General features: G+C 46.0%; 1 protein-coding gene across 1 annotated transcript in view, besides 2 other annotated features; it reads right to left on the reverse strand.

The window, feature by feature from the left end:
- PREX1 (phosphatidylinositol-3,4,5-trisphosphate dependent Rac exchange factor 1) overlaps positions 1 to 25,659 on the reverse strand; it is a 263,934-nt gene that overhangs the window by 227,495 nt on the left and 10,780 nt on the right. The gene's annotated exons all lie outside the window — the stretch shown is intronic.
- Positions 6,226 to 6,726: an enhancer, noted in NCBI's record as "H3K4me1 hESC enhancer chr20:47474509-47475009 (GRCh37/hg19 assembly coordinates)". NCBI's record gives its function as "activates a minimal SCP1, AML or CMV promoter by ChIP-STARR-seq in naive H9 embryonic stem cells {active_cell/tissue: H9 hESC(naive)}" and the evidence as "EXISTENCE:reporter gene assay evidence [ECO:0000049][PMID:30033119]".
- Positions 21,052 to 21,131: an enhancer, noted in NCBI's record as "active region_18051". NCBI's record gives its function as "activates an Ori minimal core promoter by ATAC-STARR-seq in GM12878 lymphoblastoid cells {active_cell/tissue: GM12878}" and the evidence as "EXISTENCE:reporter gene assay evidence [ECO:0000049][PMID:35858748]".

Genomic DNA, 25,659 nt, shown 5'->3' on the forward strand with positions numbered 1-25,659 from the left:
CCCCCAGCATGGGGACATTGCCTGATCGTCCGTAAATATTGATTTAAATATTTTAAATATTTAAATATTGAAGTTCACCCATTCACCACTCTGAGTCTAGTTTTCTCATCTGTGAGAGCCTTGAACTTGGTCCCTACGATCTCTAATAGTCTGTGGGGGAAGGACAGCCAAGACCTCACCAGGCAGTATGGGATTATTTGCCAAAAATATTTAAAAGGACCTTTCGAGAATTCCATAAGCCACAAATTCATAGACTGTGGGCCAGGTTTTAGCCCAAACGTGTTTTGCTGGGTCTGCACCTATTTTTTTTTTTAACTTAGATGTCAATGGAAACCTAACCCAGCCCACTTTAGTCACCAGTACTATCTATCTGCCCCTTTCAGGCATTTGAGTTTGCCATTCCTGGATGGAGAGTTAAAGACCATTATAACCATGTCACCCAGGACCCCAAAAATGGTTCTACAGTCAAAGGTTAAGGATATATTTAGGTCAGTTGTTCCTAAACCTGGTGAAATCAAATGACTCAAGCAGTATATAAAACACAGATCCCTAGGCCCACCCAGACCCACCGAAACCTACTCTCCCATAGGTCATGGTGCTGGAGGCGGAATTTTTTTCAAGATCCTCCCAAAATGCTTATCCATTATGGGAATATGTATTGAATCAATATCTGCAGATGTCAATTTGGCTGGACCTGTCAAAATTATAAATGCACCTATCTCTTGACCTAGCAATTCCATTTCTGGGAATCTGTCTTCTAAACCAATGCTTTTTAAACTTTAATGTGCATACACACCCCGGTCATCTTTTTAAAATGCAGATCCTGATGGAGCAGATCTGGGTTGGAGCCTGTAATGCTGCAGTTCTAACAAAGCTCCCATCTGATGCCCAGCTGATGGTCCTGGAACATTCTGAGTAGCAAGGCCCTAGATCTCCCACACACACACCCAGTGATGTATGTACAAGATGATGCATTGTATCATAGTATGTAATTGCAAGTATGGGAAATAACCTAATTGTCCATCAATAGGGGACTAGCCCAATAAATTATGGTGCATCTCAGAAAGGAGGAGCATTATACAGCCTTGAAAAGTATCAAGTATCAAGGCAGTGCTTTAGGTACTGGTATGGAATGAACTCTAGGGCATATTATTTTAAAAGCAAGGAGGAGAATAGTGAGTGGAGTGGGTAACCACTTATATAAAGAGTGTTGGCTGGGTGGGTATGTGGGGAATATTTATATTTATATTCACTTGTAAATGCACAGAATTGCCTGGTAGAAGACACTAGTAACTGGAAAGGGAAACTGAGTGGATGGGTGACAGGGAAGGGAGGGTGACATTTTACTGTACCCATTTGAATTTTGAACTACGTGAATATGATACCTGTTTAAAAATAAACAAAAATTTTAAATTATAATTATACATAAATAGAAAGACTCACCACATACTTCTAATGCTCAGACATGAATTTAGACCATCAGAAAAGCTGAGCTGCAGGTAACATGGTGGATGTATTAGTCTATTCTCATGCTGCTATGAAGAAATACCCAAGACTGGGTAATTTATAAAGAAAAGAGATTTAATTGACTCACAGTTCTGCATGGCTGAGGAAGCCTCAGGAAACTTACAATCATGGCTGAAGGCACCTCTTCACAGGGCATTAGGAGAGAGAATGAGTGCAAGCAGGGGAAATGCCAGAGGCTTATGCAACCATCAGATCTCAGAAGACTCCCTCATTATCACGAGATAGCATGGGGGGAACCACCCCCATGATTCAATTACCTCCACCTGGTCCTGCCCTTGACATGTGGGGATTATGGAGATTACAATTCAAGGTGGGATTTGGGTGGGGACACAGAGCCAAACCATATCAGTAGGATACCTTCTGCCTTGGTACACCATGCACACACACACATCCAACGCACATGCACACATATGAACACACACACACTTGCATACACCTTTAAGGACAGTCAATACAGTGTGTTGAAAGCCTGCTGAGCTTAAACTCTGCAAACCTCAGTTGGATCCCAGCTCCACCAGCTGAGTGACATCAAGCAAGACACTTAGCCTCGATGGGGATGATCAAAATAGTCCTGGCTGCCCTGCAGACCTTGGGTGGTGAGAAAACTCTTCATAAACTGTCAAGCATACACATGAAAAGACTCATTATAATATGAACCTGGATGGGTGAGCCAGATGGGGCAATCCACAGCCTTCTCTCCATGGGGTCCCGTGCACACCTCTCAGGACGTCACTGCAAGGTGGAAACCCAATCCCTTGACCTTTGCAGTCAGGCAGCTGCTCCGAACAACCCCTGGCAGTGCTAATCTCCAACTCTCCTCTCACCATCGGGTCCAGCTGCTGGGCTGAGTCACACGCAGGCCGAGGGACAGGCACATGACTTGTGTGTGGAGCTGGTGTGAGTGTAGTGGTTGGGGGAGGGTAGTAAAGACCACAAGAGGTGATTACTCCCCACTTAGTAGGAAATTTCACCTCCAGGGGAGGAGATCTAAGCCTGACTCTAGGTCGGAACTCAAGTGGCTGCCTGGCCTGTCTGGCAGAATTCTTCCTCCGGGAAGCCCACTGGATGTGTATATGTGTGTGTGTGTCTGACAGAGGGAGGGGCAGAGTGTGTACAAAAGAATGATACTAAAAATAACTAGCCAGGCACCTGTGGCTCATGCCTATAATCCCTGCTACTTGGGAGGCTGAGGTGGGAGGATCACTTGAGCCCAGGAGTTTGAGACTACAGTGAGCTATGATTACACCACTGCACTCCAGCCTGGGCAACAGAGTGAGACACCCTCTCTAAAAAATAAAAACTAAAAAAAACCACATGTACTAAGCACTTACCACATGCCAACCTCTATCCTGAGCACCTCGAAGATTAAACTCATTGAATCTCCATTGATACTGGTATCACCATCACCATTACGATCATCCTCACTTTCCAGATGAAGAGGCCGAGGCCCAAAACAGGTAATGAATTTTACCAAGGTCAGTCATATAGCCCAGGTTCAGAGACAGTCTGATTCTAGAGCCTCCGCTCTTAACCTCTCAGCTACAGGGAATTTCATTCCTTGAAGGGGGTTTCCAGAGGTCATTTGGCCCAGTGCAGTGAGTGAGATGATGGAAACAGTCAACCATGTTTGCACCTGGCTGTGTGACCCTGGGCAAATTGATTACCTCCTGTGCTTCACATTTTAGAGCCTCACTTTCCTCCCCTAAAATGAGGATCATCACAACCATATCCACCTCTCAGGGCTGTTTTAGGGCTTAGTAATAACATACTTAAAGTCCTCCACACAAGACCTTGTTAATATGATTATCATACCGATTATTATCCAGTACTAGTGAGCAAGGTATAAAAAATAGCTAGAAAACCCCTAATCCTGGGCAAGAAGGAATCAAAATCTCCTTCTTAAGCAGTTTGTCCATATCATTCATCAGCAACATGTAACCAATACATCTTGCCTTTTCTTCCTGTTGCCGTCAACCCTTCTAAGAAAGCAAGATAGGGCTAGAAAAGAAAGTGCCTATATCTTGGTCATCATTTTAACCACTTTATTTTTTGGTTTTGGTTTTAATAATCTTGATTTCTGCTGAGAGACGCTCACAGGAGAGAGACCCTGGGTACCAAGTCCATCCTGGCGGCAGGGGGACAGATGAAATTCCTCTTTCAAGGTTGCTTCCACTTCCACATCCCTGGGAGACTCATTCAATCCTACAGTTATTTAGTGAGCACAGACTCTGTTCCAGTCATCTGTTAGGCACTGGGGACACAGCACCGAACAAGGCAGACAACATTCTTCAGCTCATGGAGCTGACACTCCGGCAGAGGAGACAGAAAATAAGTAAGTAAAGAGGCCAGGCTCAGTGGCTCACGCCTGTAATCCCAGCACTTTGGGAGGCCAAGGAGGGTGGATCACTTGAGGTCAGGAGTTCAAGACCAGCCTGGCCAACATGGCGAAACCCCATCTCTACTAAACCTACAAAATTAGCCGGTTGTGGTGGCATGTGCCTGTAATCCCAGTTACTCAGGAGGCTGAAGCAGGAGAATCACTTGAACCCAGGAGGCGGAGATTGTTGCAGTGAGCCAAGATCATACCACTGTACTCCGGCCTGGGCGATAGAGCGAGAGACTCTGTCTCAAATAAATAAATAAATAAGTAAAGAGATCATCTAATGTTTAAGTTTCAAAAAATGCCATGAAGAAAAATAAAACAGAGTAAAGGGATGGAGAGTGACGAGGGAGCGGCTGTTATTTTAAACAAGGTGATCAGAGAAGGCCTCTTGGAAACATGACAGAGGAGAGCTAATGAAGTGTGTGTACCTGGGGAAAGAGTATTCCAGGTGGAGACAGGGAGTGGCAGGTGCAATGGCCCTGAGGCAGAACCCAGGGAGACAGTGGTAGGGCCTAAGTCTGGAGCGGCAGACAAGGCCTTGCTGTCTCCTCCTTTCTTCTCTGCCAAACTAGGGTGAGGACAGCGGCCTGCTGGCCCACATCCATCCCAGAGTTGCTGGGAGGTAATGGATGGGAAATTGCTCTGAGAGGCTGCACAGGGTCCAGTAGGAGTGTTATTAATGGATGCACTGGACGACGCCCATGCCAGGGGCACTTTAGGACAAAGTGGTTTCTTCTCCCTCCTGGTGAGTCCATGTTATCCTAAATACCAGCACTGAGAGAGCCCAAACTTCAAACATTCCCATCCTCTCCTTCAAGGAATGGAAACAGCAGGGCCTAGAGAAGGCAGGAGAACCATCCAAGGCCACGTTGCAAGTTCCTGCCAGAGCCCCAGTGTCAGGATCAGGCTCAAGACTGAAAAAATACTGAACCATCCCATTCCCAGGTGACAGGAGAGTAAGTAAAATCACTTTTCTTTTCTTTTCTTCCTAAAAGGTTGTTACTTCCCCTAGGGCAAGAGGGGGATGAGACTCTTTGCCGGGTGGATGGGCTGGGAAAAACAACAGTTTGCAAAACAAATTAAATGTGTTAAATGGCCAGTTTCTCCCACCAGTGGGTCTCTTTGCCCTCAGCAAGTGACTTCTCAACTTCTCCTTTGTGGTTTTCAAAACATTCCCCTAAATTTCTTTTTTTGTTTTGTTTTGTGACAGTCTTGCTTTATCACCCAGGTTGGAATGCAGTAGCATGATCTCGGTTCACTGCATCCTCTGCCTCCCAGGTTCAAGCAATTCTCCTGCCTCAGCCTCCCGAGTAGCTGGGATTACAGGTGCATGCCACCATGCCCGGCTAATTTTTGTATTTTAGTAGAGACAGGGTTTCACCATGTTGGCCAGGCTGGTCTCGAACTCCCAACGTCAGGTGATCCACACTCCTCGGCCTCCCCAAGGGCTGAGATTATAGGCATGAGGCACGGTGCCCAGCCTACCCCTAAATTTCTTAGGTCCTTGCCACCCATGGTGTATAAGAGTCAGAGAAGATATTGGGCTCTTTGGCCCCTTTCCACAGATGAGGAAACTGAGGCCCAGAGTAGGGAAACACACCTCATCTGAGACACTTGGGCTCCACAGTTAGGAGCTGACCTTCTCTCTAAAAGAAGTGACTATAAACCGGTATAAGATAACATAATGAGAAAGGTAATTTCAGAGGATGCCAAGAGCTATGGATGAAATAAACCAGAGGGCTTGGCCGGGCACAGTGGCTCATGCCTGTAATCCCAGCCCTTTGAGATGCCATGGCGGGGGAATCACTTGAGCCCAGGAGTTTGAACCTGCAATGAGCTATGATCACACCACTGCACTCCAGCCTGGGAGACAGTTTTTTAAAAAAACCAGCCTTGAGCTCAGGAGTTTGAGACCAGCCTGGGCAAATAGCGAAACCCTCGCCTCATCTTTACAAAAAATTCAAAAATTAACAGAGCATGGTGGTGCATGCCTGTGGTCCCAATTACTCGGGAGGCTGAGGTGGCAGGATCACTTGAACCAAGAAGGTTGAGGTTGCAGTGAGCTGTGATTTCGCCACTGCACTCCAGCCTGGGTGACAGAGTAAGACCCTGTGTCAAAACAAAACAAAAAAAGGTAGGATTGGCAGGACTACTTTAGTGGTGGTCAGTGAAGGGTCCCGGGGGAGTTTGCATATGAGCTGGTCCTGTAGCTTGAGCAACAAGCAGCCATGCCCAGAGCCAGGTAAAAGGGGGGTCTGGGCCAAGGGGTGGCAAATGCAAAGGCCCTGTGGCGGGGGCAAGCTTGGCCTTGGAGCAGCAAAAAGGAAAGTCCAGTGGGGCTGGAGCAGAGCAGAGCAGACCTGGGGAGGGTACGGGCCGATGGCAGCGGCAGGGGCCATGTCTCAGGCCTTCCCGGCCACTGTAAGAAATGTGGATTTAATCCTAAGGGCAGTGGCTGCCAGTCGAGGCCTCCATGGTTGGTGGGAGAGCTGGGCCTTAAAACCTGGATCTCATTCTTCAGAGCCAAGGCTCACAGGCCTGCAACTCCCCTTGGCCTTCTATGTATCCCAAGACTTCCTCTGTCAACCCTGGAACTTCCTGGTTATACTCCGGGCATGTGACTCTGTCTCGTCCGCCTTGGGCTGTCAAGTGACTCCCACAGCCCTGATTTCCCACAAACTCACTCAGCATCAATCTCCTCTCACACACAGGCAGATATTCTCCTCGGCTTCTGCAGGTCACACTCTCTGGGAGCCTTGCCCCAGCAAATGAATTTGCATCTGCCCCCAATCCTCAACAGCAGCAGAAATTGGGGATGGGGAAAAGGAGAGAACAGAGAGACCTTTCAGGAGCGAATCAGTCTGCAAACTGGATAGGAAGGCAGAGAGAACACAGGCCAGACCCAACCTGGGGAGCTTATCAGCTCTGTCCTGGGGTGTAGGCTCCCAGAGGTCTGAGCTGTCTCCTCTGGCCTCACTCCTGTGTTAAGAGGTGACAGACAGGATCCCAGGGTGAGTCTGGCTGAAAATAGACAGGCAGCAGGGGCAGCCATTAGTGGTCCCTTGTGAGGTTCTAACTCTCTACCATCAAATCACCATCAGACCACCTTCTTTGGTGTTATCTTTCTTTAATGTAGGCAGCTGAAGTCCTGATATTAACAATAATAATTCACTTTTATTGAGCACTTAATGTGTGCTACTCACTGTACTGCGTACTTTATTTTATTTTTATTTTATTTTATTTTATTATTTTATTTAGAGATAGGGTCTAGCTTTGTCACCGAGGCTGGAGTGGGGTGGTGGAATCATAGCTCACTGCAACCTCCAACTCTTTGGCTCAAGTGATCCTCCCATCTCAGCCTCCCGAGTAGCTAGGACTACAGGCATGTGCCACCCTGCCCAGCTCATTATTTTTTTAAATTTTTTGTAGAGGCAAGATCTTGCCATGTTGCCCAGGCTGATTTTGAACTCCTGACCTCAAGCGATCCTCCTGCCTCAAACTCCCAAAGTGCTAGGATTACAGGTGGGAGCCACAGCACTTGGGCCAGTACTTTAGAATTTTAACTCATTTATACATCTATGTCAAACGGAAACAAAAAGATTCTTAGAAAACTTGGTGATTCCTGTGAATTTTAACAGGCTGGCTACCTTGTAACAATACCAGAAACAGAACCAGTGAGTTTGTCTGCCAACACTGCTTTAATACAAACCCAGTCACCCACCCCATAAGTCCCACAAAATGCCCCATGAAGATTCTCCCATGTGACTATTCTGGAGCCACCCTTCAGGAAGAACTTCCAGACACAAATCAGGGAGCCCCTGCCTCACCTCACACCTGTCAGGATGACTACTATCAAAAAGTAAAACAAAACAAAACAAATATACACAGAAAATAACAAGTGTTGGGTGAGGATGTGGGAAAAATTTGAACCTGTATGCATTACTGGTAGGAATGTAAAATGGTACAGCTGCTGTAGACCACAGAATGGCAGTTCCTCAAAAAATTAAAATTAGGATTACCATATGACCCAGCAATTCCACTTCTGGGTATATAACCAAAAGAATGGAAAGCAAGGTCTTGACCGGGCATGGTAGCTCATGCCTGTAATCCCAGCACTTTGGGAGGCCGAGGTGGACAGACCACCTGAGGTCAGGAGTTTGAGACCAGCCTGGCCAACATGGCGAAACCCTGTCTCTACTAAAAATACAAAAATTGGCCAGGCATGGTGGCGCATGCTTGTAATCCCAGCTACTTAAGAGGCTGAGGCAGGAGAATGGCTTGAACATGGGAGGTGGAGGTTGCAGTGAGCTGAGATTGCACCACTGCACTCCAGCCTGGGCAACAGAGTGTGACTCTGTCTCAAAAAACAAAAAAAAGAAAAGAAAAGAAACCAAGGTCTTGAACAGATATTTGTGCAACAGTGTTCATAGCAGCATTATTCACAATAGCCAAAAGCTGGAAGCAATGCAAGTGTCCAACCACAGATGAATAGATTAACCAAGTGTGGCATCTACATGCAGTGAAATAGATTCCAACCTTAAAAATGAAGGACATTCTGATACATGCTACAACATGGGTGAACCTTGAGGATATTATGCTAATGAAACAAGCCAGTCACCAAAAGACAAATACTATACAATTACACTGAGATGAGGTCCCTAGAGTAGTCAAAATCATAGAGACAGAAGGTAGAATGGCAGTTGCCAGGGGCAGAAGGGCAGAATGGGGAGTTGTTTAATGGGCATGGAGTTCGGCTTTGCAAGATGAAAAGAATTCTGGAGCTGGACGGTGGCGAAGGTTGCACAACAATGTGGATGTACTTAACGCGTCTGAACTGTACATTTAGAAATAGTTAAGATGTTACATTTTATGTTATGCGTATTTTACCACAACTAAAAATTCCTTAAAAGGCCAGGTGCCACGTCTGTAATTCCAGCACTTTGGGACCCCGAGGCGGGTGGATCATGAGGTCAGGAGATCGAGACCATCCTGGCTAACATGGTGAAACCCCGTCTCTAATAAAAATGCAAAAAATTAGCCAGGTGTGGTGGCACGTGCCAGTAGCCTACTCAGGAAGCTGAAGCAGGAGAGTCGCTTGAACCCAGGAGGTGGAGGTTGCAGTGAGCCGAGATCGCACCACTGCACTCTGGCTGGGCGACAAAGTGAGACTCTGCCTCAAAAAAAAAAAAAAAGGCCAGACGCAGTGGCTCATGTCTGCAATCCTAGCACTTTGGGAGGCCGAGGTGGGAGGATTGCTTGAGGGCAGGAGTTTGAAACCATCCTGGTCAACATAGTCAAACCATGTCTCTACAAAAGAAAATAAAAGAAAAAAAATTGTAGTAAGAACAAATAAGATGGCCCTGCCTCCTTCCTGGGGCCCAGAAAGAGATCTCACTTTCTGACGGGAAGGAAAGGGCCCCCAGCAGCATTGCAGTCACACCCAGCTCCTTCTATAGATGTTAATAGCCTGGAGCAGATCTTTGTGACCCCAAAATAAGCCATCTCAGACTTTCAGTGACACTCTTTAGCCCCAGAACAGCATCACAGTGAAAGGAGAGGTCGAGAGAAATGGAGCTGGAGTTCTAACATTGACTTTGGGGAACCTTAAACAATTCACTCCACCTCCCTGGACCTCAGTTTCCCAATCTTTCCAAGTGAGGAGGCTGGACTTCGCAAGTTGTCCAGGAATTATATCTGACCCCAGACATGTCTTGTTCGGCCATCACAAGATTTAAAAGCTGAGAGATATCCCATTAGAAGGTCCGGCCACCCGGGGGCTATGTTTTTCCGAGGTCACCATAGTCTGGAAGTGCACTGTCTGGAAGGGTTCCCCCTTGGATGGGGCTAGTGCTCCTCAGTTCCACCCCTGCCACAGGCACAAAACTTCCCTGCCAGGACCTTGCAGGCAGCTGAGTTTGCAAAGCCTGGACAAAATGACAGTGGAGGGACCTCACACTTCAGTGACAGCTGGTTCAGGGTTTTGTGGGTGAAGATTTCTTCTAAAACACAATTTAGGGGTTTTCCATCATGGGACACACTATCTCTGAGACTCTCCTTTTTTAACTCCAACCCTGGATTCCTCGGACCAGTTTCCCAAATAGGGGGACCTCACAAGAGGCTCTGCAAGCCCCACTGGCACCCCACAACTTGACTCCCTCTCAATTTGTTGGGATTCCCAGCAGGAAAGGAAGTCTCCAGGCCTGCTTGCGGGGCTTCCAAACAATAACCTCCCTCTTGCCTCCCCTCGAAAAATAGAGAAAATGAAAAAGCAGGCCAGGCGCGGTGGCTCACACCTGTAATCCCAGCACTGCAAGAGGCTAAGGTGGGCAGATCACCTGAGGTCAGGAGTTTGAGACCAGCCTGACCAACATGGCAAAACCCTGTCTCTACTAAAAATACAAAAGTTAGACAAGCTTGGTGGCACACACCTGTAGTCCCAGCTACTCTGGAGGCTGAGGCAGTAGAATTGCTTGAACCCAGGAGGCGAGGTTCCAGTGAGCCGAGACTGCCCCACTGCACTCTGGCCTGGGCGACAGAGCGAGACTCTGTCTCAACAAAAGAAAAAATAAAATAAAATAAAAAAGCAAAAACCAAAAAGGCTCTTATTAAAACGATTCTTCATGACAACCCAGACAGGAAAGACAGGAACTGACATCATCATCCCTTGAACTCCTCCTCACCATAATTTGATACTAATAAAGGATAGCTTTTATTGAGCATTTACTGTGTGCCATGCCTTCTTCTAAGCACCATGCATATTATTTCATTGAATCCTCATAACAATCCAAGGAGATAGGCACTATTATAACCCATTTTACAGAGAAGAAAACTGAGGCAGAACCTGCACATTGGTGGTGAGAAGGCCTGTAAAAGACTTTAGCTTTCTCATCTCTCATCACGTGACCTTGGACAAGCCACTTCCCCTCTCCAGGCTTCAATCTCTAAGTTGTACAAGGTGATCATTCTGGTCTAAACAGTTTGTTACTCCTTGAACTCTTTTACTAAAAATCAAAGCACACATTAAAAAAAAAGAATGAAAAATTGGAAACAACACTGCCTGTATAGGGGGTATATGTGTGTGTTTGAAGAGCCAACTAGTGAAACTTTAAAAGCTAAAAAAGCCTAAAAAAAAAAATATATATATATATATATATATACTAATAAACGTTATTTTTTTTTTTTGGAGACAGGGCCTCACTGTGTTGCCCAGGCTGGAGCACAGTGGTGCAATCACAGCTCACTGCAGCCTCAAACTTCTAGGCTCAAACGATCCTCCCACCTCAGCCTCCTGAGTAGCAGCTGGGACTATAGGCATACACCACCACATCCAACTCATTTTTTATTTTTTCTTTGTAGAGATGGGGTCACACCAGGTTGCCTGGGCTGATCTCAAACTCCTGACCTCAAGTGATCCTCCCACCTCAGCCTCCCAAAGTGCTAGGATTATAGGCGTAAGCCACTGTGCTTAGCCTAGACTTTATTTTTTCAGAGAATTTTATGTTTACAGAAAAATTGAAAGGAAAGTACAGAGAGTTCCCTTATACTCCCTCTCTCCCTCCCCTACTTTTCCCCATTATTAACACCTTGTATTAGTGCAGTACATTTGTTACAATTGATGAGCTGATATGGGTACATTATTATTAACTAAGGCCCATAGTTTATATTAGAGTTGACTGTGTTATGCAGTCTGCAGGTCTTGGCAAATGTATGACATGCATCCACCATTACCTTATTAGGTAGAATAGTTTCACTGCCCTAAAATTCTCCTGTGCTTCACCTTTTCATCCCTCCCCGCTCCTTCTCCACAAACCCCTGGCAACCACAGTTTTGTGGGGTTTTTTTGTTTTTTTTTTTTCTTTCTCTATAGTTTTGGTTTATCCAGAATGTCATATAGTTGGAGCCATATGGTGTGTAGACTTTTCATATTGTCTTTTTTTTTTTTTTTTTTTTTGACACAGTCTCGCTCTGTCGCCCAGGCTGGGATGCAGTGGCATGATCTTGGCTCACTGCAGCCTCCGCCTCCCAGGTTCAAGTCATTCTCCTACCTCAGCCTCCTGAGTAGCTGGGACTACAGGCACACACCACCACGCCTGGCTAATTTTTGTATTTTTAGTAGAGATGGGGTTTTCTTGGCCAGGCTGGTCTCAAACTCCTGACCTCAGGTGATCTGCCTGCCTTGGCTTCCCAAAGTGCTGAGATTACAGGCATGAGCCACTGTGCCCAGCCCATATTGTCTTATTTCACTTAGCAATACACATTTAAGATTCTTCCATGTCTTTTCATGGCTTGATAGATCTTTTTTTCTAATCAATGAATAATATTCCTTTGTCTGGACGTGCCACAGTTTGCTTTTTCATTCAACTATTGAAGGATATCTTGATTGCTTCCACGTTTTGGCAATTATGAACAAAGGCTTATACATTTTTTATAGTTTTTCTTGCCATTGGAAAAAGCAATGACACATGATCACTGCAGATTAGGAAAATACAAGAGGACGCAGAGAATGAAATTTCGATCTTTCATTTCACAAAGAAAGAAACTGAGGCTAAGGGAGAGGAAATGACAAGTTCTCCTTGTTCATTCATTCATGCCTTCACTTATTCCTCCAGTGAATATTTACAGAGGACCTATTATGTTCAGGCACTGTGCTGGGACAGGAGACACCACTGGGAACAAGAGAGATGTCCGTTACTGGGGTTAATATTCCAGACAGACAATAACCAAGTAAATAAATGAATCATATTTGTAACGAAATCACAGCTAATATTTATTGTGTGCTTTCTTTGTGCCAAATGTTGTTCAAAAAACTTTGTGTACTTTATGACATTTGGTCTTCACAAGCACACTGGGAAGTAAGCCTGTTATCTCAATTTTGCAGATGAGAAAAGTATAGTTCAGAGAGGTGAAATCATGAACCTGAGGTCACATCGCTCATCGAAGTCAGGGGAGCAAGATTTAAACCCAGGTCATGGCTCTCCCGTCTATGCACTTAACCACTGCTCTAAAATATGGGAAGATCATTTCAGATGGAGGGTTAGGGACAGAGCCCAGCTGAACCCTGACCTTCACCTTCTTACGCCTTTGTGTCGGGCACTTTGTTTTTCATGGTTCTGAGAAGCCAAACTTCATTGTTCTTCGTGGGTTCTTCCAGTTGCTTAGCTGTGGTCCCTGTGGACCAGGGGGAAGGGCTTGGAGCTCATGGCTGGCCAGGGCCCTGTGTGCAATCAGATCACCTTTATTTTTAAGCCATTAAATCCCTGGTGACACATGCTGCTCTTCAGAGGAGCAGGCTGACCTGACCAGGAGAACAGAGTCACTGGGCAGGGAGAAGCCACACACCTCAGGCAAAGTTTTTGACAATCAGGCAAGGAGGCAGGGTTGGGGGGGGTCTTACCCAACCCTGCTTCCTGTGGGATCATTCAAATCAGTAGCAGAAAAAGCCATAAGCTTATAAAATGGTACTGGGGAGTCTCTGGGGGAAACAGGTACTCCCATACACCCCTGGGGAGTGGAAGGTGCCAGAGCAGTTTTCTAAAACAATTGTCATCAACTACCAAGTTTTACAGGAACACAGCCTTTGGCCAGCAGTTTCAGGTCTAGGGGTTCATCGTACAGATATCTTCGCACATGTGTAAAATGAAGTATGTGCAATGCTACGCTTGACAGAAATTTGTAGAAAGAACTGGAATGACCCCTTTCTTCTCCTACCCCCCACACAGGTCCCTGGTTAAAGAAACCAGGTCCGTGCTTGCAAAGAAATCTTTGGCAGCTGTTCAAAGGAAGACGGGTCTCCATGTATTGCAATTGAGCCCTCTTCAGCATAAACTGTTAAGGGTGAAAAAGAAAGGTTCAGAACATTATATGCTATCCTGATTGTTACAAAAGAAACAAAAAGAGGTGGGCAGGGGCTCTGTCTATAGAGGTGTTGAACTGGGAGTTCCTCCACAAGAGCTTTTAGCATCCTGAGGCCTGGCATCCCAGTATTGGCCCTCCCTTGCTGTGCAATGAAGATCGAAGTTTCAACCTCTCTGTGCTCCAGTTTCCTTAACTGTAAAATTGGACTTGTTGGAAAAATTAAATAAAGTCATCTACACAAGAGGCATTTCTCAATGCCTAGGACGTAGGAAATGGTCAATAAGGAACAGCTGTATAATAATTATTGTGCACAAACTCTCCCTGGAAGAAGGCACAAAAACATGGATAATGGGCTATTACCTCTGGGCACTGGGAAAACTGGGAGACGGGACAAGGGGTGACCAATTTTTCAGTGTATGCCCTTTTCGAAGTGTTAAACTTTTTTTTTTTTTTTTTGAGACAGGATCTCACTCTGTTGCCCTGCTGGAGTGCAATGGTGAGATCGTAACTCACTAAAGCCTCAACTTCCTCGGCTCAAGCAATCCTCTCACCTCAGCCTCCTGAGAAGCTGGGACTACAAGTGTGTGCCACCATACCTGGCTAATTATTAAAGTTTTTGTAGAGACAAGATCTTCTCCTTGTGTTGCCCAGGCTGGTCTCAAACTCCTGGCCTCAAGGGATCCTCTGGCTAAACTTTTAATTTTTTACTTTGTGCATGTTTTAATGTTTTTTAAAAAATATTATTTAAAATAGGGTAGCAGGTCCAAATCAAAATGAGAAGGAGCAGGTAAGCGATTTTCAGGCCATTTTCCAGATGGATTTTTTGAGCTAACAGCAACCTGGGTCCTGTGGCTCAAGGCCTGGCTGCTCATGGGCATTGTCTGGGAAACTGTTAGAAATGCAGAACTCCAGCCCAGGACCACTGGAGCAGAATGTGTGTTAACAAGCTGTCCAGGTGAGCCACAGGCAGGCGCAAGTTGGAGAGGCAGTGGTCTGAGGACTGCAGTCATAGAGGACACCAAAGTTTCTCAGTTTTTTGACTCAGCTCAGCCAGAGGATAAATGGGATGGGTTGCCCCTCCCATGGGGCGAGGGTTGGGGAGAAGAGAGAACAGCAAGAATTAAGAACTGCTTGGCCAGGCACAGTGGCTCACACCTGTAATCCTAGCACTTTGGAAGGCAGAGGTGGGCGGGTCGCTTGAGTCTGGGCGCTAGAGACCAGCCTGGGCAACATGGCAAAAATCCATCTCTACCCCCAAAAATATAAAATTAGCCAAGTATGGTGGCACTTGCCTATGGTCCTAGCTACTTAGGAGGCTAAGGTGGGAGGATCACTTGAGCCTGGGAGGTGGAGGTTGCAGTTAGCCGAGATCACCCCACTGCACTCCAGCCTGGGAAACAGAGGGAGATCCTATCTCAAAAAAAAAGAATCGCTTGCTCTTCCTCCATAAGAGGTTGTAGCACATGAGTTCTAAGGTGTGTGACTTTTAGCAGCTCCCCACTTAGGGTTTAAAATAACTTTCTGGTTGAAATTTTAAAAAAGGAAAGTAAGGAAGGAAGAAAAGGGAACCTCCCACTGCAGCCCACACAACCCCAACAAGAAAAGGAGGCCTCCTGCTCCCCAGCCCAGCCTCAAGCCCACTTAATCTCTCTTTGGAGACAGGAACAGAGGAATTGTTCAAGGAGAAATCAAGTGGGAAGCTCTTGGAGCTGAAGAGCCTGCAAGCCAATCCACTTCAAGTTTCTCATGTAACAGGTGGGAAAATAGAGGCTTGGAGAGGGGACATGGTTTGTCCAAGGCCACCCAGCAAGTTAGGGGCAGAAGCAGTGCCAGAATCATAGAGGCAGGAGAGACCTTGAAAGCACCTACCCCAGAGTTACACCTTCGAGGGCCCCCCAGGGAATGTCTAGAAGAGGCACAGATCAGCTATTCCCTCTCCACTGGCCACAGGCCAGGCACCTGAGCCAAGCTGGGCGGATGAGAATCCATCCTAGAACTTTTGTTGGTCAAAGGAGTCATCCATCTTTGCATCTCTCCACAGGTGTAGAGTCTGCCACTTTTTAAAAATAATTGTATATAAAATTAGCTGGGTGTGGTGGCATGCACCTGTAATCCCAGTTACTTGAGAGGCTGAGGCAGGAGAATCGCTTGAGAGGCTGAGGCAGGAGAATCGCTTGAGAGGCTGAGGCAGGAGAATCACTTGAACCGGGGAGGTGGAGGTTGCAGTGAGCCAAGATTGTGCCACTGCACTCCTGCCTGGGTGACAGAGTGAGACTCTGTCTCAAACAAACAAACAAACAAATAAATAAATAAAACAATTGTGTACAATACACATAACCTAAAATTTACCATCTTAACCTTTTTTTTTTTTTTTTCCTGTACAGATGGAGTCTCACCATATTGCCCAGGCTGGTCTGGAAGTCCTTGCCTCAAGTGATCCTACCACCTTGGCCTCCCAAAGTGCTGGGATTGCAGGCGTGAGCCACTGTGCCACTCATTAACCTGTTTGAAGTGTACAGTTTAGTAGTGTTCAGTACATTCTCACTGTCATGCAACAAATTTGCTACTTTTGACAGACATGAATATAAGTTTCTTGAAACACTTCTTATACTCCTGTCTAAGAAAAACAACAGTGAACAAAGTGATAAATGGTAACAGACACTGGTGCTTGGAGCCAGGGAGACAAGAGGGAGTGGTGGAAGCTATGGCAAACAGGAAAACCCAAACCCCTTCTAGGAGACAGTCACTAATCAGCTCCAATCTGCTTTTGCCTGCAGGAATGCTACATCATCTATACAGGAAAACACTTAATTTTTTTTTTTTGAGACAGAGTTTCGCTCTTGTTACCCAAGCTGGAGTGCAATGGCATGATCTCGGCTCACTGCAACCTCCGCCTCCCAGGTTCAAGTGATTCTCCTGCCTCAGCCTCCAAATCCAAAGTAGCTGGGATTACAGGTGTGTGTCACCACACCTAGCTAATTTTTTGTGTGTATTTTTAGTAGAGACAGGGTTTCAACATGTTGGTCAGGCTGGTCTCAAACTCCTGACCTCAAGTGATCCAACTGCCTCAGCCTCCCAAAGTAAGAAAAACCTGATTTTTTTAACTTTTCTTTTCAAAACTCAAAATTCAAAACAGTTGAAAAGGTACAGAAAATGTCTCCCTCCTACTACAGTTTCCCACTCCACAGGTAACCACAATTACTGATTTATTGTGGATAAAGTGTCTTTATAATTATACAAACAAATAGTAACATAAACATACCTTTTTTCCGTGTTTTATCCCATTTTACATAAAAGAGAGCATAACAAACACATTGTTTTACACCGTGCTTTTTAATTAAATAATCTATCCTAAAGAATCTTTTTTTTTCTTTTTTTTCTTTGAGACAGAGTTTTGCGCTATCACCCAGGCTGGAGTGCAGTGGCACAAACAGAGCTCATTGCAGCCTCGACCTCTTGGGTTCAAGCAATCCTCTCACCTCAGCCTCCCAAGTAGCTGGGACTACAGGCACGTGCCACCATGCCTGGCTAATTTTTTTATTTGTAGAGATGGGGGTCTCACTATGTCACTCAGGCTGGTCTCAAACTGCTGGGCTCAAGTGATCCTCCTGCCTTGACCTCCTAAAATGCTGGAATTACAGGTGTGAGCCACCATACCCAGCCAAGAATCTTCTTTATTAGTACATAGACTATATGTATCCTCATTATTTTTACAGTTGCACAGCTGTATTCCACCATACGGATGATCTATTTTTTTGCAGTGTTTTTTTGTTTTGTTTTGTTTTTGTTGTTTTGTTTTTTTTTTTAGACGGGGTCTCACTCTGTTGCCCAGGCTGGAGTGCAGTGGTGTGATTATGGCTCATTGCAGTCTCAAACTCCTGGGCTCAAGCTGTCCTCCTGCTTTGGCCTCCCAAAGTGCTGGGATTACAGGCATGAGCTACCTTGACTGGTTGGATGACCCATATTTGATTTAACCCACCCCCATTTAGATTGTTTTTCTAGACTGTTGCATTTTAAACAATGCTGCATAGGTATTGATAGTGCTGAGCACTATTTACAATAGCAAAGGCATGGAACCAACCCAAATGTCCATCAATGATAGATAGGATAAAGAAAAGGTGGTACATATACACCATGGAATACTATGCAGCCATAAAAAAGAATAAGATCATGTCCTTTGCAGGGACATGGATGAAGCTGGAAGCTATCATCCTCAGCAAAGTAACACAGGAACAGAAAACCAAACACTGCATGTTCTCACTCATAAGTGGGAGTTGAACAACAAGAACACATGGATACAGGAGGGGAACAACACATACCAGGGCCTTTTGGGAGTTGCAGGGTAAGCGGGGAGAGAGCATTAGGACAAACACCTAATGCACGCTGGGCTTAAAACCTAAATGACAGGTTGATAGGTGCAGCAAACCACCATGGCACATGTATACCTATGTAACAAACCTGCAAACTCTGCACATGTATCCCAGAACTTAACGTAAAATTAAAAAGTAAAATAAAATAAACAATGCTGCCTGAATAACCTCCTACATATATATTTTTCACATATGCAAATGTATCTGTAACTAAATTCTCCAAATTAGAATTTCTGTATGTGCATTTCTAATATGTAAGGAATTTGCCTACTTGTCCCCTCATAGTGGTTGTACCAAGATCCATTCCTGCAGCCATGTATGAGGGACTATTTTTTTCACAATTACACACCTTATTGTTTTAATACTGATTTAAAAAACTAAAACAAAACAAAATAAAAATAATGTGCGATACAAACAAACATGCCAGTGGGCCACATCAAGCCAGCAGGCCCCAACTTTCCCAACTCCAACTCTTCAAAGCCCAGAATGTTGAGTGACTCGCCTCAAGTTGCCCAGGACTTGAATCTGCACTGTCTGATTTCTATGGCTGCACCTGATCCGCTTCCCAGCTGACTACTAACTTCTGGGATCCCTCAACTTTGGCAGTGAGAAACTGTGGCTTCTGCAAAGTCACGTGGAGCCTTTGTCCGTTCAAAAAGTTGAAAAAGTTCCAATCTTACTTGAGGGTGGTGACTGTGGATGGGGCTGCCCCACATCCACCAAGTGCCCTGCTCTCAGATGTCAGCTTGTGTTGTGTAACAACCAACCGTAAAAATCATATTTAGGCAGGGCACAGTGGCTCACGCCTGTAATCCCAGCACTTTGGGAGGCCAAAGCAGGCAGGTCACTTGAGGTCAGGAATTCGAGACCTACCTGGGTAACATGGCAAAACCCTGTCTCTACTATGAAAAATACAAAAATTAGCTGGGTGCAGTGGCAGGTGCCTGTAATCCCAGCTACTCAAGAGACTGAAGCATGATAATCACTTGAACCCGGGAGGCAGAGGTTGCAACAAGATGAGATTGTGGCACTGCACTCCAGCCTGGGCAACAGAGTGAGACTCCATCTCAAAAAAAAAAAAAAAAAAAAAAAAAAAACCATATTTACTTCTGTTCTTTTATCCAAGTGCTTGAGGAAGCTTAGGATTCAGACAGACTTGGAGCGTCAGTCCTGGCTCAACCTCCTGCAAGCTGTATGATTTTGGGTAATTTACTTGTCCCTCCTAAGCTTCAGTTTTCTTAACTATAATATGGAGATAATAATAGTCTATATTGTGAATTGTGCTTGGTAATCACACCAGACACAAAATATATACCTTTAAACATTAGAGTCAGGTCCAGCTCACCAAAATACTCAGGCTATGAAAGGCTGACAAGATTCAGGGCACCTCGGCCGGGCGTGGTGGTTCACGCCTGTAATCCCAGCACTTTGGGAGGCCAAAGCAGGCAGGTCACTTGAGGTCAGGAATTCGAGACCTACCTGGGTAACATGGCAAAACCCTGTCTCTACTATGAAAAATACAAAAATTAGCTGGGTGCAGTGGCAGGTGCCTGTAATCCCAGCTACTCAAGAGACTGAAGCATGATAATCACTTGAACCCGGGAGGCAGAGGTTGCAACAAGATGAGATTGTGGCACTGCACTCCAGCCTGGGCAACAGAGTGAGACTCCATCTCAAAAAAAAAAAAAAAAAAAAAAAAAAAACCATATTTACTTCTGTTCTTTTATCCAAGTGCTTGAGGAAGCTTAGGATTCAGACAGACTTGGAGCGTCAGTCCTGGCTCAACCTCCTGCAAGCTGTATGATTTTGGGTAATTTACTTGTCCCTCCTAAGCTTCAGTTTTCTTAACTATAATATGGAGATAATAATAGTCTATATTGTGAATTGTGCTTGGTAATCACACCAGACACAAAATATATACCTTTAAACATTAGAGTCAGGTCCAGCTCACCAAAATACTCAGGCTATGAAAGGCTGACAAGATTCAGGGCACCTCGGCCGGGCGTGGTGGTTCACGCCTGTAATCCCAGCACTTTGGGAGGCTGAGGCGGGCGGATCACGAGGTCAGGAGATCGAGACCATCCTGGCTAACATGGTGAAACCCCGTCTCTACTAAAAATACAAAAAACTAGCCGGGCGTGGTGGCGGGCACCTGTAGTCCCAGCTACTCGGGAGGCTGAGGCAGGAGAATGGCGTGAACCTGGGAGACGGAGCTTGCAGTGAGCCGAGATCATGCCACTGCACTCCAGCCTGGGTGGCAGAGCAAGACTCTGTCTCAAAAAAAAAAAAAAAAAGATTCAGGGTACCTCTCTCACTTGTTCTCCTCCGTGACATACCTTCACTGAGACAAGAGCAGTGGGCAGAATCATCCACATGCGTCACACCATGTTGTGGTTTTTTTTCACTGAGCACATAGAGTTGGATACGTATAAGTTGAATATACATGTAAAGCAATTCCTTTCTATATTTGCAGTGTTTGTGCAACTAGATTGTACACTCCTTGAAGGAAGGAATTGTCTTCCAGTTGGCAAGACAGGCTTGAGATCAACTAAGTATTTTACAAGACAGAACAAGATAAGTGGCCGGGATCGGCAGCTCATGCCTGTAATCTCAGCACTTGGGGAGGCCGAGGCAGGCAGATCACTAGAGGTCAGGAGTTCAAGAGCAGCCTGGCTAACATGGTGAAACCCCATCTATACTAAAAAATATAAAAAATTAGCCGGGTATGGTGCCAGGCACCTGTAATTCCAACTATTCAGGAGGCTGAGGCAGGAGAATCACTTGAATCTGGGAGGCAGAGGTTGCAGTGAGCCGAGATCGTGTCATTGCACTCCAGCCTGGGCAACAGAGCGAGACTCTGTCTCAATAAACAAATAAATAAATAAATAAATAACAAAATAAGCAATGGGTACAAAGTGCCATGAGGAAGGACAACCTGTTCAAACAGAGCCCCGGAAGTATTTCCGGAGGCTCCTGAGTCAGCCCTTTCAGGAGGGTAAGAGGATGAAAGAGGAAGTAACATTTACTCAACAGCAATTTGCTGGGCACTCTGTTTCCTGATTTTATTTTTTTCTGTTTAATTTTTTTTCTCTTTTCAAAATAACACCATGTACCAGTCAGCTTTGGCTACATAACAAACTCTCATTTATTTCTTGCTCATGGATCTGTGGATTTTCTGAGGAGATGCTGTTGGTCTCATGAGCTCAGCTGGGCCTCTGGCCATTGGACTCAGCTCTGATCTACCCTGCGTGTCACTCATCCTTTGGGACTTGTGGGCTACTCAGGGCATGTTCTCAGTATCATGAAAGCCAGGCACACAAGGGAAAAGTTCACCTCCACTGTACATTTCAAACCTTTGTTTGGTTCATGTCCACTGCCATCTCAGTGGCCAAAGCAAGTCACATGGCCAAGACTAAAGATGAGATGGAGAAGTCCATTCATTCCAGGGAAATGGAAGAGGAAAAGGGAAATGTTTGCTCTACGGCAGTCTAATCTACAGCAACAAGTAATACAGGAGTGCAGTCTTATTAAAAATTCAAGCAAGAGGCCGGGTGCAGTGGCTCACTCCTGTAATCCCAGCACTTTGGGAGGCCAAGACGGGCAGGTCACCTGAGGTCAGGAGTTCAAGACCGGCCTGGCCAACATGGTGAAACCCAGTCTCTAGTAAAAATACAAAAAAAAAAAAAAAAAAAAGCCGGTATGGTGGCGGGCGCCTATAATCCCAGCTACTTGGGAGGCTGAGGCAGGAGAATAGCTTGAACCCTGGAGGTGGAGGTTGCAGTGAGCTGAGATTGTGCCACTTCACTCTAGCCTGGATGACAATAGCGAGACTCTGTCTCAAAAAAAATAAATAAATAAAAATTAAAAAAATAAAAATTCAAGCAAGAAAATATAAAAGCACAACAACAGCGGAAAATACGTCACCATGCTCCTCATCCCACCATCTTCCCCCTACTCCCTAGAGGTAAACACTTTTCCCAGGCGTTTACACACAGAGAAAGCTATTTTGCCCCCTTGGTGCCGAGACAGTCTTGCTCTGTCACCCAGGCTGGATTACAGTGGGGCAATCGCAGCCCACTGCAGCCTCTACCTCCTGGGCTCAAGCAATCCTCCCATCTCAGCCTCCCGAGTAGCTGGGACTACAGGCATGCTACCACACCCAGGTCAGAAACGTTTACTTAATACAATGAGATCATTCTACATGTATTTGTACCTGACAATTATAAGCATCTAGTCATGTAATTATTATATGGACTCTACAATTAGGCATTTGGGGTCACCATTTTATAAATGAGGAATCTGGGGTTAAAATGCTTATCCAAGATCACCCACCTCTTACATAGCTGAACCAGAATTCGAACCCACGACTTTCCAAAAATTCTTTTGATTTACAGTGAGCTGCCTCTATAAAAGCACAAGAGGTTGCACCACAAAACCTGTTGTTATCAGCCCCCTACATTTATCCTTTGGGACCACAGAGGAGGGGTGTCCGTGTGTGTGTGTGTGTGTGTGTGTGTGTGTGTGTGTGTGTGTGTGTGTAGGGGGTGGGTGGTGTCGTGTGATTTAGGAGAGTGTTCACTATGACTAGCGTTGTGGCGGGAGTTTGGGAGACATGATGAAGAGGAGGAAAGACCTTCACCCTCAGGTCACTTACAATTAAGCCAAAGAAACCAGGAGCCTCTCTTGAAGCAGTTTAATAAGATGGCAGGATGTGGCCAGGCATGGTGGCTCCCACCTGTAATCCCAGCACTTTGGGAGGCTAAGGCAGGCAGATGACTTGAGGTCAGGAGTTTGAGACCAGCCTGACCAACATGGTAAAACCCGGTCTCTACTAAAAATACAAAAATTAGCTGGGCATGGTGACACACGGCTATAGTCCCAGCTACGGGGGAGGCTGAGGCAGGAGGATCACTTGAACCCAGGAGGTGGAGGTTGTAGTGAGCCGAGATCACACCACTGCACTCCACCCTGGGCAACGGGAGTGAAACTGTGTCTCAAAAAAAAAAAAAGAAAGAAAAGAAAAGATGGTGGGATGTGCTAGTGTAAGCCTTGGGTACCCATGGGGAGTTTTATTATCTGTCTGTCTCAAAGCTGTCCCTTGACAGAGAGCTCAGCCAGAAGCTAGTATCCCTGATCAGAGTTTGGGGAGGACACAGGTCTTAGCCATCTTCCCAGAAAATGGGTAAGACTGAGCGAAAGGAGAAAGAACGTACTCTCACATGAAGTGGGAACAGTGACAAATACTACAGTCTTCAGCAGCATCCGGTGTGACATGAGTGTGCGCTCAGGGGGCTTCATTCAGACTGGGTGTCAGGGAAGGTTTCTTGGGGAATGAACATTCCAGCCAAAACCTGAAGGCCAAGTGGGAAGCAGCTGAAGAACAAGGGAAGAGAGATCCCCGCAGAGGGAACGGCGGGTGCGAAAGCATTGAAGCTGGAGAGGGCTGGGCATTGTAGACACAGAAAGGAGGGCAGCAGGGTAAGGATGACTGTGAGGAGGAAAGGAGAAGGCTGAGCAGCTGGCAGACGCTGGGCTGTGCAGGGACTTGAGCTAAGCTGTTTAGGGAAAGGTGTGACATGACCACAAGCTGGTGCCAGAGTGACCACAGAAGAGTGGCTTCCTGGGCATCTAAGAGGGCACAGTCAGGGCGGTAAGTGGCTTAGAAGCAGGGCCGCGATCAGTATTGTGTACGTTGTGTGATGACTCTGGAGGGGACTGAATCTGGGTATGCAGCTAAACATTCAAGTTCTCAAAAGCGTGTTTCAAATAGCAAAACTGGAGAAGCCCTTTAATGGAGTTTGAAAAAGGCACAGGAGAGAAGTCTGACGTGTTTCAGTGCAGGGTAAGGGAAGAAGTGGGGAGGGATTGGGTTTGGAGGGTGTCACGAGGCGACAGGTGAGCCGAACAAATAGGACATTGCTAAGCAAGGCTGGGAAGAAAGGGACGACGGGCAGAAGGCACAGCAAAGGCCAAGGCGGGGTGTTTGGAACATGCCCAGCTGGTGTGGAGAAGAGACTGGGAAGGATTCAAGCTCAGGCTCCTGGAGGAGAAAGGCATAGGGGAATGCTGGACCGTTCACCTGGGGGTTGGTTATGCAGAGCCTCCGATGCCTGACATGGGAACGAGGGAGTGGCCTGATCAGATGGTTCGTAATAACTTGGCAGATTCACCTCCTGTGCTCTCTCACCCCAAGGGACTTGAGTGAGTCATTGGGGCCCTTCCTCCTCTCCCTCCACACAAACACACGACTTTTGGGGAGGCCAAGGTGGCAGATGGGGGTGATAGATCCTGTAATCCTATCCCCAGTCCAGGGGTCAGGAAGTTCTTTCCCCAGCAGGCTCCCACCCAAGACTGCTGTTAAGACTGAGGTTGGAGAAGTGTTTTTCTCATCCACCCAGCCTCAGGTGGGCAGGACGGGAGCCAACCAGAGCCCTCTGGAGACAGTTCTGTCTGTGGGATCCGCCCTTTGGAGGACACAAATGAAACCCAATGCAACATAAAAGATGGCAAGAGGTGGCCAAGTGCTTATCTTATCAAACAAACTGCTCCTTGGAACCAAAGAAAGGGAATAGAGCTTTGCTTGTTTTCTCTTTTTATCTTCCTGATTAATTGCCAGCAAGGGGTCTGTGGGATGGGTGGTGGTTGAGGGCGACTCTTGGATGTGTGATCTCGCCTGGGAGGCAGGTAGGTTTCCCAGTCACCCTGGATTTTTAACATTTTCTTGTTGGAAGTCACATCCTCAAGCAAACTCTTAGGCACTATTTAGGGAGCACTCCCCAAACAGCTCCATTATGGCCTAAATATTCTTGGGAAGATGAAAAGGGGAAAAGACTATCATTGCTCAAAACAAGTCTATAATCTAGATGGAAGCAGGTAAAGAGGCACAATATTTACCATCTTTTATTTTTACAGGGTCTTTATCTATTTCCATCACTTAACCATGAGCTCTTTGGGAACCAGAACCCAGTCAGAACCATTGGGGTATCTGAATCTGGACCCAAGCATGTAGTGGGGCTCAGTCTACCTGTCACCTCATTCAGGATTCTTTCAGTTGTAAGTATTAGCAACTCAGCTCAAAAAGGCTTCATTGAAAAGTATGATATATAGGCCGGGCGCAATGGCTCACACCTGTGATCCCAACACTTTGGGAGGCTGAGACGGGTGGATCACCTGAGGTCAGGAGTTCAAGACCAGCCTGACCAACATGGTGAAACCCCCTCTCTACTAAAAATACAAAATTAGCCAGGCGTGGTGATTCACATGCCTATAATCTCAGCTACTCAGGAGGCTGAGGCAGGAGAATTGCTTGAACCCAGAAGGTGGAGGTTGCAGTGAGCCAAGATCGTGCCATTGCACTCCAGCCTGGTCAACAAGAGCGAAACTCCATCTCAAAAAAAAAAAAAGAAAGAAAAAAAAGTATGATATATTAACTCACGGAATAGAGAAATCCAGGTCTAGAATGACTTCAGGCATGGATAGATCTAGGAGTCAAAGAACATCACCAAGATCAGACTTTCTTTTCCC

Source organism: Homo sapiens, chromosome 20 (assembly GCF_000001405.40).
Source record: "Homo sapiens chromosome 20, GRCh38.p14 Primary Assembly".
Lineage (NCBI taxonomy): Eukaryota > Metazoa > Chordata > Mammalia > Primates > Hominidae > Homo > Homo sapiens.